At 37.0% G+C, this 14,034-nt stretch overlaps 1 protein-coding gene across 1 annotated transcript in view, besides 3 other annotated features; it reads right to left on the bottom strand.

Moving 5' to 3' along the window:
• Window positions 1-14,034, bottom strand: part of F5 (coagulation factor V) — a 74,531-nt gene that overhangs the window by 13,441 nt on the left and 47,056 nt on the right. The window contains exons 14-18 of the mRNA NM_000130.5: window positions 11,115-11,289; window positions 5,395-5,631; window positions 4,217-4,427; window positions 2,524-2,703; window positions 510-626 (exon numbers count right to left, since the gene is read on the bottom strand). Coding sequence (NP_000121.2) covers window positions 510-626; window positions 2,524-2,703; window positions 4,217-4,427; window positions 5,395-5,631; window positions 11,115-11,289 — 920 coding nt within the window. The remainder of the gene's footprint in view (window positions 1-509; window positions 627-2,523; window positions 2,704-4,216; window positions 4,428-5,394; window positions 5,632-11,114; window positions 11,290-14,034) is intronic.
• Window positions 1,216-1,416: a silencer, noted in NCBI's record as "peak448 fragment used in MPRA reporter construct". NCBI's record gives its function as "represses an SCP1 promoter by STARR-seq MPRAs in K562 erythroleukemia cells {active_cell/tissue: K562}" and the evidence as "EXISTENCE:reporter gene assay evidence [ECO:0000049][PMID:32103011]".
• Window positions 6,215-6,384: an enhancer, noted in NCBI's record as "experimental_1250 CRE fragment used in MPRA reporter constructs". NCBI's record gives its function as "activates a minimal promoter by MPRAs in K562 erythroleukemia cells, with activity observed for both the introgressed and non-introgressed 1:169500929 variant alleles {active_cell/tissue: K562}" and the evidence as "EXISTENCE:reporter gene assay evidence [ECO:0000049][PMID:34662402]".
• Window positions 13,696-13,896: a silencer, noted in NCBI's record as "peak449 fragment used in MPRA reporter construct". NCBI's record gives its function as "represses an SCP1 promoter by STARR-seq MPRAs in K562 erythroleukemia cells {active_cell/tissue: K562}" and the evidence as "EXISTENCE:reporter gene assay evidence [ECO:0000049][PMID:32103011]".

The raw sequence follows: 14,034 nt of genomic DNA on the forward strand, positions 1-14,034 counted from the left end.
TTGACCTCAAAGTTACAAGGTTATTTATATCTTGATCAAGGAAGGGATACCAGCCACTGTGCTACCTGGATGTTGGCACAGTGCTTCATACTCAACAGTGCTTAGTAATGGCTTAAAGAATGGATGAACAGATGGACAGATGAAAACTGTGTTTCCTAAATGCTGAAATGTCAAGTTTAGTGACTCAGTCATTGTTAAATTCCTGTGACCTTTTCCCTCCTCAACTCTTGGAAGCTGGAAAATTTCTTATATGCACTTGTCCATGGATCACAAGTCATGAAGAAGGATGCTTTACACAGGTTTCCCAATTGACAGGAATGCTTTTGATCTGACTGATGTGTTTTCAATGCAATCAGACCATGGGCCGGAATAAAAGCAATTATGGCTACAAATTATGCCTTTGTCACATCAGAGTTCTTAGAGTTGAATATTTCCAATCTAAAAGTTGGTAATATTCTAGTAATAGGCACTCTCCTGCCAAACCAAATATCACATGGCTCTTGTGATACCTCTGTCCATGATAAGAAATGGCGTTTGCATCCCTGCTCTCTGGTTTTCTCCAACCTCTGTGTTTAGGAGCCACCAGCCAGGTTTTGATGCCTTCATTTCAAGAGTTTTAAATGAACCTAAAATAAAAAGAACAACATTACATTTGCAAAAATTAACAAGTAAATATTGTGGTTGATAGTTCTCTAAGAATCCTAAAATTCCTGCTTCACAAGAGGCTTTCAAATAGAATTTAACCATTTTTCTTTAGGTAGGACTGAAAGTATAACAGATAAAAACAAAACAATAACAACACATACACAGAGATAACTAAAAAAAATTTTAAATCACCACCACACCTCACTAGAAGAAACTTTCACTTATCTAAATATAATGTTACAAATTAACTCACATACAATACAGCTTCACAGTCCTAATTATCAAAGTGACCTCGAATGACATCATTGGGCTTCAAAAATATCATACATGTTTCCTTTCCCTCTTTTCATTTTTGCTTTTTTCTCTTTTTTATATAAGAAAATAAAAATAAAACCTTCTTCCTCCATGTTTTCAAGTTTTCCATAAAGCTTACATATTTGAATAGAGATTTACATAAATTGCTCAGAAAAAACACTGAAAGAATGAGATTTCTAAAACCTCTGGCTATCCATTCTGGTATTTAACATTACCCCCTGGCAGTTAATATTTAAATTCTGTTGACTATAATTTATGACTGTTTCCCAGATTGTGGGTGAAAATGAATAGATATGATTATCTTCCTCAAACACACTGAAAAATGTCTCCAGTTTTCCTCTCTCCAATGCAGGTATTTAGGTTTGCAGATTTAGAGACACCAGCCAATCCTAGCTTCTCAGTCTGTCTGCAGGCTGATAGGAAGGATGACTGATCTTCTAATACTTGATGAAAAGATGAGTAAATTTGACTGAATCTCTTCTGTCTCTGATTTTAATACAATAAATTATCTATTAATTATTATATTAATTAATTAATATGATATTAATATAATACAATTAATACTCTCTAGATGTATTAGTGAGTTACTGGCATGTGAAAAACCAATAAGAACCCTCTTTTTTTCCCTGCTCTTAATCAAACCAGTCCATTTGGACTTCTGTGCCTGCATCTGAGGCAGATTCACACAACGTCACCCAAAGTGCTGTCGAGGGGCTGCCTTCACTAACTCCTCAGGCAGCATGTGTTAGGTTGGTGCAAACTATAATTGCGGTTTTTGCCATTACTTTTAATAGAAGGCAAAATAGAAGGAAGGCTGCTTGTTAAAAATACAGACTCCTTGGAATTCTGCCCAAAATCTACTTTAAAGTCTCTGAGAACAAAATCCCTCTGCCTTCACATCTGCATTTTAACTGACTTCCTAGGTTTTTATACTGCTGCACAAGTAGATACACTTACAAACAACTCATTGGCACAGAAACATCCCTTCTGTATAATTGTAGACTGTTTAAATCTACATTTATCTTTATTTTGCACATGAAAAGTTCTAAATACCTTTGTTATTCTTTAACTTTTATTATTATTTTTTAAAAATGTTTTCCTCTTCAAACAGTCTATAAGTCAGTTTAAGAATGTGATTCCTGGAGTCACTTGCCCAAAGATATTAGGGTGATAGGGCCTAGAAGAGGAGCAGAACTGAAGAATCTGGAAACCCTCCCAGCAGAGATAGCTGTAGCTGCCTGAGCCCTGTGGGATTCATTTTTTCATCTGCTTAAGACCTCATCTGTATGACACACAGTGGCTTGGGAGAAACTGCATGTTATGTTGCAACTGAGTTGGGTCACACATTTAGCCTGTGTGGTGCTGCAAATAGTTCATAAATTAGGTGACATTTTTGTACTCCGTATATACTTTGGGTCTATGGGTTTGCCTAGGCTCTATGCCAGAACCCTGTGTTCTGACCCCTTAGGAAGTATATGCACAAGGAAGAAATGAGAAGGAGTTACAGATTGCCTTTTCCCTGTATTTCTTAGCAGGGACCTCTTCCCATTACCCAATCTTTACCAGGCAGAAGGGGCCAGACCCCTAACTGGTGCTGTTTATTGCCATTTTCCAGCAAGGTCTGGCCGTGAAAGTGAACCACGTGAATGTCTTGGGAGCCGCCTATGTTCAGCAGGTGTAACCTCACCCACTCTTGCTCATACATTTTCAGGCCAGGCAAGCTGTAGATCATCCCATTAATGGCTGAAAGGACAAAGAGTTGAAATCAATTAAAAATCTGTTGACACAGAGAGGGCGAGTGGTAAGGAAATATGGGGCAACCCACTCAACACCCATGTTCCTCATGATTCTGCATTCCCAGGCCTACCTAGCCATGGAAAGGGCCCTCTTGTATGTCACATTAGTGAGAGGCTAAAGCAGAACCACTAGTCCTTCTCATATCATTCACACCAGCCTACAGCAGAAGGCAGGGGGAACTCCCTTTCCAAGCAGTTTATCACTCTTTTCCTCAGCTTTTACAGTTCCGTGCTTTACCCGTGTATACTTTCCATTAACAGTCTTAATTTTCCTTAACTACAAAAGATAAATACAAATATGGGCAGACAAAGTAAACTCCAGGGATTAGAGTCAGCAAGGAGATATGCAGCATGTCACCTTAAGGCCTTCTAAATTCAGAGAAAGTTTCAGGCAAATTAGGAAGTCTAGGAGTTTATAAAATTAGGAGTTTATCGTTGGTGTATCCAGCAACCATAGCAAGTCATGTTTATTCTCTTATTGGTATGACAACTCCTCTGCCCACTTCTCAGATTAGATAACTAGGGTTCTCAGGCTTTATCTACTCTCCCCACAGTAAAATACGCGGATTTTTTAAAAAGTTCCTGAGAAACTTGATCACCTTAAAAATGTAACACAAAACTGTAAAGATAAAGTTTAGTGTTACCAAACGTTTAACTGAAACCAAAGTGAAGGAAGTGCTTTGTTTCCTCCTTCTTAAGTTAGAGGAACTGCTGTGAAATTTCAGAAACCAGGCAGGTGAATTTTTGGAGAGGGACGGGTTGAGATCATTTGGGCATCCTTCAAATTATATCAGGCGTGAGAACACCTATCTACATATTCATAACACAAGCTCGTACCTTTCTCTTCTCAGTTTCTGTTTCAGTTACTAGCTTACAGGGCAAATTTTCCTTGTGAATTTCCAAATAGGCACACTTTTCCCAGTGTGACCACCCAAATGCTCTCTTGCCACTATTCTCCTATTACCTGGGTACCTAGTTTCTTATCTCATTTTGTTCTCATATGCTTTGGGTGCCACCTGGTAGCTGCTGAGAGCTAAAACTGTTAGCGTCATTCTTATTTTAGAAAAGACACACAGGTGATCATTTCTTTTATATAAACACTTGTGCCTTTAGAGATCCAGAAACAAGCTTATTAACTTTAAATTGCAGAACAATGTTAATTCCTTTTCAATGTATGTTACCAGCTGAAGCACACTGGCTTTTTGTTGTTGTGGTTTTCTGTTGGTTTGTTTTGCAGCAGCTTCTCTGTGCTATCTTTCAGACTTTCTCTTTTTGCCTCACCCACAGTGTCACCTGCCAGATTACATCAGCCCTCTGGAATGTTAAGGAACCGGTTTTAGTTGTAGCTCTGGGTGTCTCAGAAGCATCTCATGTCTAATCTTGTGAATATCTAAGGGCAGAAATCACTGTGACCCAGTGTGATTTAATTAGGAGATTAGATCAAAGTCTGAGGAAAATACCGTGAAACTCATGGGATTTTTTCATTTCTGAGGATGTGAGTCTCCAAGAACTTCGGGACTTCTTTTCATAGTACCAGCTCTTCTTTTCATCAAAGGTCATAAATAGTAAGACAAATTCTCTCATGTCCATAGGCATGTTGCTGTCCTTATGTAGTATTCCTTTTTGGCAGATTAGGAGGGGACCTATCAAGCCTGAGTGAATATCTTTTTCCTGGAAAAACAGAGTAAATTGTATTGCCTCTTTCTCAGGAATTTCCTTGCTCTTCTGATAATCACTCATCATATAGAAAAGGAAACTTTCTGATAGGCTCTGAATTTGAAGATGAAGATTATAAATGAATGGCATAATAAGCCTGGATATTTATCACCTAATTCTGTTGTATTCATAATCCTCCTTCCTCTGATTGATCTTTATCCCAGTAACAATGATGATAATAATAAATTGATAATATAAGGGATACTATTTATTGAGAATCTATTACTATATTAAATGATTTGCCTGCAATCTCCCATTTAATCCTGACAACTATCTTATATGGTAAATATAAATTCATTCATTGAACAAATATTTACCAAGTGCTTACCATGCACTATGTACTGTTATCTCATTTTTAACTTCTGATACCAGGCTAAGAGAGGTCAAGGAATTTCCTAGGATTATGCATTGACAGGGTAAAAATTTAAATCTGAGTCTGTGCTCTTTCCACTATGCCTGAAATGGAGGAGTTGTTTCTCTTTTTAATTGACAGATAAAATTGTATGCATATACTGTGTATGACATATTGTTTTGAAGTATATATACATTGCAGAATGTCAGATAAAGGAGTCTTGACTTTGCAGTTCTTTTCATAAAGAAAGAGCAGAACATAGCTAATACTTGTTCAAGAAAATTTCAAATAAATGCCATCTTCTGTAAATGTAGGCATTCTAATTCATGGCCAATCATTCAAGTAATCTTTCCTCCTCTCCACTGAATAAATGTTTCTCTCTCTGTCATCTGAAGAGCTGCATGGAGAGTCCCTGGTTATGATAAATGCAGACTGTTAACCACACCCTTATGCATTCCTCATGAAAAGCAAGACAGACATTTGACAAGAAATAACCCCGACTCTTCCATTTGGTGGACTTCAGATTACGAGGTTAGGGGAATGAGAAAAACTTTCAATGAAAGTACCTACTGGGTTCACAGCTGAGTAGTAGGCCCAAGCCCGACAGGCAGAGCCAGGACTTTCTGGCCCTGATCGCTCAGTGGCATGCCATACGTAGGTATAACTGCTATTTGGCTGAACAGCATTATCTTCCTTAAACCATTCAGGAGAGTCATCTTCATAAGTCTTTCCCTCTGATGATTTTTCATAGGAAAGTCCATGGGCATGTAGAGAATACGGTCTGGATGCTAAATTTTTAAAACGAACCTAGGAAAAGGAATGATCCACAAATGTACTTAAGCTTAACAAAAATCTAAACCACAAAAATGTCAGCATTATAAGTCAAAATGGCTGGTTATAAAATCGGAGCTAAGATATAAGGTACAAAATAACTTATGTATATTATTTCATTTAATTTTCATAACCATCCTGTGAGATATGGCCCAAGTAGTTTTCTCCAGAAATACCAAAAGATATTTGTTCTTAGGCTCAAGGCTAAAGTACTGACATTATCTACTAATGAAATGAGAGTGATAGGTAGTGGAGATGTGAAGATGAAAGAAGCTTGATTCTTGTTCATAAGAAGCTTTTAAGCTCCTGCTGAAACAGACATGCACATGGGCATCCACACTACAAATCTGGAGACAACAGGTGCTATATACAAAGTCTAAGTGGGTTCAGATGACAATGCCCTGGAGGAACAATTTGGTTGAATATTTAGGAGTGGTTGGAAGAATTAAGGTAAGTTTCTTAGAGGAAATGGAATTGGCCATCATAGAATGAACAGGAGCTAGAAAGACATTTCAGACTCTCAGAAGGGCAGAAGGATGCCTGTGAGCAGGGGAGTAAAGGAAGAGTTTGGGGAATAGCAAGGATCTCGGTGGAACTGGGCTGTGAAATGCACAGGGACAGGTGGAACCTGGTGAGAAATGAGGCTAGAAAAGGAGCAGGTTGGGGCCAGATGGTAAAGGACTTAAATGCCATATGAGAAGTCTTCACACCCCAGCAGTCAGACCCATGAAGCTCCTCCCAGCCCTTCTATAACTTCTAGTGATTAAAGACTCCCTAATTGTCTGTTCCTTATTTTATTCTACAAAGCCAGCATCACCCTAATAACAAAACCTGGCAAAGACACAATGAATAATGAAAACTACCGGCCAATATCTCTGATGTACATAGACACAAAAATCTTCAACAAAATATTGGCAAACCAAATCCAGCAGCAAATTAAAAATTAATTCATCACAATCACATAGGCTTCATTCCTAGGATGCAAAGTGGCTCCACATATGCAAATCAATAAATGTGATTCACCACATAAACCGCATTAAAAACAAAAACAGTATCATCATCTCAATAAATGTGGAAAAAGCTTTTGATAAAACCTAACATCCCTTCATGATAAAAACCCTCAACAAACTAGGCATTGAAGGAACATACTTCAAACTAATAGGAGCCATCTATGACAAACCTACAGCCAACATCATACTGAATGAGCAAAAGCTGAAAGCCTTCCCCGTGAGAACTGGAACAAGACATGGATGCCCAATCTCATCACTCTTATTCAACATAGTACTGGAAATTCTAGTCACAGCAATCAAGCAAGAGAAAGAAATAAAAGGCAACCAAAGAAGAAAAGAAGTTAAAGTATCTCTCTTCATTGGCAATATGATTCTGTACCTAGAAAACCCTAAAGACTCCATGAAAAGGCTCCAGGAACTGATAAATGACTTCAGTAAAGTTTCAGGATGCAAGATTAATGTACAAAATCAATTATACAAAATAAAATGTACAAATGTACAAAATAGCATTTCTATACATCAGTAATGTTCAAACTGAGAGCGAAATCAAGAACGAAATCCCATTAAACATAGCCACACACACATACAAAATACCTAGGAAAACATCTAACCAAAGAGGTGAAAGATCTCTATAAGAAGAATTACAAAACACTGATGAAAGAAATCATAGATGACACAAACAAATGGAAAAACATTCTATGCTTATGTATTGGAAGAATCAGTATTGTTAAAATAGCCATTGTGCCCAAAGCAATCTACAGATTCAACACTATTTTTTAACAACTACTGGAATCATTTTCCTCAGGATTAGACAAAGCTATTCTAAAATTCATATGGAATCAAAAAAGAGCCTGAATAGCCAAAGCAATCCTAAGCAAAAAGAACAAATCTGGAGGTATCACAGTACCTGACTTGAAACTATACTATAAAGTTACAATAACCAAAATAGCATGGTACTGATACAAAAACAGACACATAGGCCAATGAAACAGAATAAAGAACCCAGAAATAAAGCCACACACTTACAACCACCTGAACTTTGACAAAGTCAACAACAACAGCAACAACAACAACAAAAAACAAGGGGAAAAGGACTCATATTTAATAAATGGTGCTGGAATAGCCGGCTACCCATATGTGGAAGAATGAAACTGAACCCCAATGAATCCAATGAAACTGGATTCATCATATACAAAAATTAACTCAAAATGGATTAAAGATTTAAATGTCAGACCTCAAACTATAAGAATCCTAGAAGAAAAACCTAGGAAACACCATTCTGGATATCAGCCTTGGGAAAGAATTTATGACTAATTCCTCAAAAGCATTTCAACAAAAGCAAAAATTGACAAATTAAACTAAAGAGCTTCTGCTCAGCAAAAGAAGCTATCTACAGAGTGAACAGACACAGAATAGAAAAAATATTCACAAAGTATGTATCTGACAAAGGTCTAATATCCAGAAACTATAAGATAGTTAAACAATTGAACAAGCGAAATACAAATAACCCCATTAAAAAGTGGGCAAAAGACATGAACAGATACTTATCAAAAGAAGACATACAAATAGCCAACAAATGTGAAAAAAATGCTCAACATCACTAATCATCAGAGAAATGCAAATCAATACCACAGTGAAATACCATCTCACACCAGTCAGAATGGCTATTAGTACAAAGTCAAAAAATAGATGCTGGTGAGGCTGTGAAGAAAAGGGAATGCTTATACACTGCTGCTTAGAATGTAAATTAGCCACTGTGGAAAGAAGTTTGGGGGTTTCTCAAAGAATTTGAAACAGAACTACTATTTTAAGGGAGGAGACCACCCCTCATATTGTCTTATGCCCAATTTCTGCCTCCAAAGAAAGAAGAAGTAAAAACTAAAAGGCAGAAATGAAATCCACAAGCAGACAGCCCGGCGCCACACCCTGGACCTGGTAGTTAAAGATCGACCCGTGACCTAATCGGTTATGTTATCTATAGATTACAGACATTGTATAGAAAAGCACTGTGAAAATCCCTGTCCTGTTCTGTTCTGTTCTAATTACTGGTGCATGCAGCCCCCAGTCACGTACCCCCTCCTTGCTCAATCAATCACGACCCACTCACGTGGACCCTCTTAGAGTTGTGAGCCCTTAAAAGGGACAGGAATTGCTCACTCGGGGAGCTCGGTTGTTGGAGACATGAGTCTTGCCAAAGCTCCCGGCTGAATAAAGCCCTTCCTTCTTTAACTTGGTGTCTGAGGGGTTTTTGTCTGTGGCTTGTCCTGCTACAATTTGACCTAGCAATTCTATTACTGGGTATATAGCCAAAAAAGAAAATAAATTGTTCAGCCGGGCGCAATGGCTCATGCCTGTAATCCCAGCACTTTGGGAAGCTGAGGCAGGCAGATTGCCCGAGGTCAGGAGTTTGAGACCAGCCTGGCCAACATGGTAAAACCCTGTCTCTACTAAAAATACAAAAATTAGCTGGGCATGGTGGTGGGTGCCTGTAATCCCAGCTACTCGGGAGGCTGAGGCAGGAGAATTGCTTGAACCTGGGAGGCAGAGGTTGCAGTGAGTTGAGATCATACCTCTGTACTCCAGCCTGGGCGACAGAGTGAGACTCCATCTCAAAAAAAAAAAAAAGAAAGAAAGACAGAAAATACATTGTTCTACTGAAAAGACACATGTACTAGGATGTTCATCACAGCATTATTCACAGTAGCAAAGACATGGAATCAATCTAGGTGCCCATCAGTGGTGGACTACATAAAGAAAATATGGTACATATGCACCATGGAATACTACGCAGCCATAACAAAGACTGAAATCACGTCCTTTGCAACAACATGGATGCCAGCTGGAGGCTATTATGCTAAGTGAATTAATGCAGAAACAGAAAGCCAAATACCACATGTTCTCACTTATAAGTGGGAGCTAAACATTGGGTACTCATGAACATAAAGATGGCAATAAACACTGGGGACTTCTAGAAGGGGGAAGGAAGGAGATGAGCAAGGGATGAAAAACTATTGGGTACTATGCACGCTACTTGGATGATGGGATCAATCATACCCTAAACAACAGCATCACATAATATACCCAGATAACAAAACTGCACATATGCCCCCTGAATCTAAAATAAAAGTTAAAATTATTTTAAAAATACACAAATGAAGTCATTTTTATCTAGTGAAATCCAGGGCTAAAACAAAGATTCAGTATTTGATTTTTTTCCTTTTGCCTAAGGCTCCAGTATGTCTCAATGCAACATTGTTACTTATCCTGTCTTTATTCACAATTGTGAGGTTTTGTTTATTGTGGCTTTCGTGCATTAATTTTGATTTTTAAATTTTTTAAAAAACTTCAGTTGCTTTAGGAATGCAAGTGGTTTTTGGTTACATGGATGAATTGTATAGTGGTGAAGTCTAGGATTTTAGTGTACCTGTCACCTGAGTAGTGTACCCTGTACCCAATAGGTAGCTTTTCATCCATCCCCCGTTCCCTTTTGAGTCTCCAATGTCCATTATACCAATCTGTCTGCCTTCGCATACCCGCAGTTTATCTCCCATTTGTAAGTGAGAACATACAGTGTCTGGTTTTTGATTCCTGAGTTACTTAGAATAAGTTTTTTAAATATTGTGTTAAATTATCGTTCATCTTGAAAAAGGATCCCCTAATCATAAAAGAGAATATTGCCTCCCATAGCTTCATGGAAAATTTAGAATAATTAAGATTCTTATATCCCTATGTACTTGTTTACGTTTTTAAAAAGAGCAAATGGTCACTGAAAATGTAGTGAATGCTTACACAGGTATAGTAGATTATATTTTAAAATCTAGAATAGCTTACTTTAGAATCAGGGTTCTTTCTGGGTTTTTGAATGTGAGCGGTTAGCAAAAATGGCGGAAGTAAACTTTGTTATAAAAGCAAGTTATAATCGTGGGTCTGGACACAAGATTTTGAAAGAAATTACCAGAACTAGGAAGACACTGAAGAAACTTGCTCACTTTTGGAGGGCATGGAGACATCTTTACTTTCCTTACTCATTTTATTTAACTTCATTTTATTTAATTTTTAGGAAAACACCTGAAGATATTTCTAAATTACTATTACTACTAGCACTGCTACTGCCACCACCACCACCACTGCTATGAAACCCAATTCAATTGCTCTTGAATATATTAATTTTCTGTGTTAACTTTAGATAGGTTAGCTTTAGATAGAAATTACAGAAAGATTTTCCACAGATTATATAGTTTTCAGCATTTAAAAAATGAGATCTTTTTTTTTTTTAGTTCGAAGATTGCCAAATTGCTTGGCAAGGAGTCTTTGAAAAGAAATGTAATTATTCATTAATCCTGGAAAACAAACAAATCACCTATAGCTCTCTTGCCACCTGCACCTTTACAACCCTCTGGTGCTTGTGGAAATTCCTCCGAAGATCTTAGCAGTGCTCAAAAGACTTACTTGGATAACATCATCCACTTCAGCTCTGATAATAGGACCAAGAATTCCGAGATGCTCTTCATACTCCCCTCGAGGATCACGTTTGGTAAAAGTGCTGTCGAGGTACTTTCGAAAAACTACTTTCTTATATGTGGTATCTTCTGGAATATCATCAGAGTCTTCAATATCTGTTTCCCTGAAATAATAATACTATTTGTGTAAAAGAAGAAATTAAAGACTGTTCCCAGAATTTAGGAAATTGTCTCTTTCTAAATATAGCATCTAGCATAGAGAAGGTCTTTAATAAATACTTGGTGGATAAATGAGTAAATATATAAGTGGATAAAAACAAAAGCCAGTAAATATCTTTCAATTCCTAACTCAAATATTATTTTATAGGTAAGTCTTCCTATGACCTTTTAGACTAGGTCAAGTCTCTATATCAATTTCTCATATTTCTATAGTATTATTATAGTATATATAGTAAATTCCTGTAGTATTCTTATAATATCTCTAGAATATATATTGTAGATTATATATAATTTATTTGTGAGATTATCTATTAATATCTGTCTCTCACTGGGTATAAGTGCCATGAGGTCAGCCATTGTGCCTAGTTTGCTCATAGTACTCTCTCCAGTGGTAAGCACATTATCTGACACACAGCAGGAACTTAATAAATTTTTGTCAAACATATAAATGAATGTATAAATATAATCGTATGTTAACACACCAAATTTTAAGATCAAAGGCAGACAAAGCCATGTAATGGGACAGTGCCAGAGCTTGGGGCTATCAGGTGACAATGGTCAGATTAATTAGAAGGTCACACTTATGAAAGTCACTGGATGGGTGAATGTTTTGTACCCTAAAAGTAGCCACTCTTCTCACATTTGTTTTTTGCTAATGTCCATTATTCTTAAGCTTCTTGACATTGGTGTGGACAAAGATTTTTTGGATTTGACCTCGAAAGTACAGGCAACAAAAGCAGAAATAGACAAATGGGATTGCCATCAAACTCAAAAGTTTATGCACAGCAAAGGAAATAACAGAGTGAAGAGACAACCTTTGGAATGGGAGAATATTCTTGAAAACCAGATATCTGATAAGAATATTAATATTAAAAATATAAGGAACTCAATTCAGCAAAAAACCCAAATAGCCTGATTAAAAAATGAGCAAAAGACTTGAATAGACATTTCGTAAAAGAAGACATACAAATGACCAACAAATATATGAAAAGATGCTCAACATTACTAATAATCAGAGAAATGCAATTTAAAATCACAATGAGGGCTCACCTCACACCGTTAGGATGGCTATTATAAAAATGACAAGAGATAAATGTTGGCATGGATGTGAAGAAAAGGGAACTCTTGTATACTCTTGGTGAGAGTGTAAATTAGTACAGCCATTATGGAAAACAGTATGGGAGGTTCCTTTAAAAATTAAAAATAGAATTACCACATGATCCATCAATCCCACTTTTGGGTATATACCCAAAGAAAATGAAATCAGTATGTTGAAGAGATATCTGCTGTCCCACGTTCACTGCAGCATTAGCCACATTAGCCAAGATAGGGAAGCAACCCAAATGTCTATAAACAAATGAATGGATTTCTTAAATGTGATCTACATAAACAATGAAATACTATTTAGCATTTAAAAAAAAGAAAACGAAGAAATGCCATTTGTGACAACATGACTGAACCAGGAGGTCGTTATGTTACATAAAATAAGCCAGGCACAGAAAGACAAGTACTGCAGGATCTCACTTATAATGTGGAAACTAAAAACATTGAGCTCATAGAAGCAGAAGGTAGAACAGTGGTTAACAAAGGGATACAGAGGTGGAGCATTGAGAAAATGGTCAAAAGATAAAATTCAGTTAGAAGAAATAAATTTAGAAGATCTGTTGTATAAGATGGTGACTGTAGTTAATAACAACACACTGAATTTTTAACATTGCTGAGTACATTTTAAGTGTTCTAACCACAAAAAAGTATGTGAGGTAATGCATAGGTTAATTAGCTTGATTTAGCCAATTCACAATTTATAAATATATTAAAACATCATGTTTACACCATAAATGTGTATAAAACAACAACAACAAAAAAACTGGGGTACACCCATATAATGGAATACATGCAATAACCAGATGAATCTCCAGAGAATTATACTGAGTGAAAAAATACCAGTCCCCAAAGGTTACATGTTGCCTGATTCCATTTATGTAATATTCTTGAAATGACAAAATTATAGAAATGGAGATCAGACTACTGGTTGCCAGGGAATAAGGAAGGGCTATGGTGGGAGGAAGGCAGATGTGACTATAAAGGGGTAATGAGAGGGATTTTTATGGTGATGGTGAACATTCTGTGTCTTGACAGTATCAACATCAGTGTGCTGGTTGTGATATAGTATTATAGATTTGCAAAATGTTACCCCTGGGAGAAACTGGGTAAAGAATACTCAGGATACCCAAAGGATCTCTCCGTATTATTTCTCTTGACTGTATGTGAATCTATTTTATTTTTGTTCCAAAATAAAAAGTTTAATTACAAATTATAAATAAATAAATAAAGCACATTATTTCCATCTAGTTCATTGGCTCAGTCTAGGACTGAAGCATGTCGAATTCTCCCACTGACTCTCACATTTCCCAAGCCTGTGGAAACAAGCCAAACACTCACCCATCAAACCCATAATATTTGCTATATACTGTGAGTCATCAACAGAGAATCTCCTTCTGCCTTTCTTCTGGTCTACCTCCCCTACTAATCCCATCTTTCCAGACTCTGAGCATAACATGCAAACTCACAGAACACAAGGGAGTGGGTAAAGCAACTCCGAATGCCATAAAAGTGGGTTGTGAGCCTTGAATGGAATACAAGATTTTGAAGGTGGTTCCATCCCTATTCACTCTGGACAGGCCCTGCAT

Source organism: Homo sapiens, chromosome 1, assembly GCF_000001405.40.
Source record: "Homo sapiens chromosome 1, GRCh38.p14 Primary Assembly".
Lineage (NCBI taxonomy): Eukaryota > Metazoa > Chordata > Mammalia > Primates > Hominidae > Homo > Homo sapiens.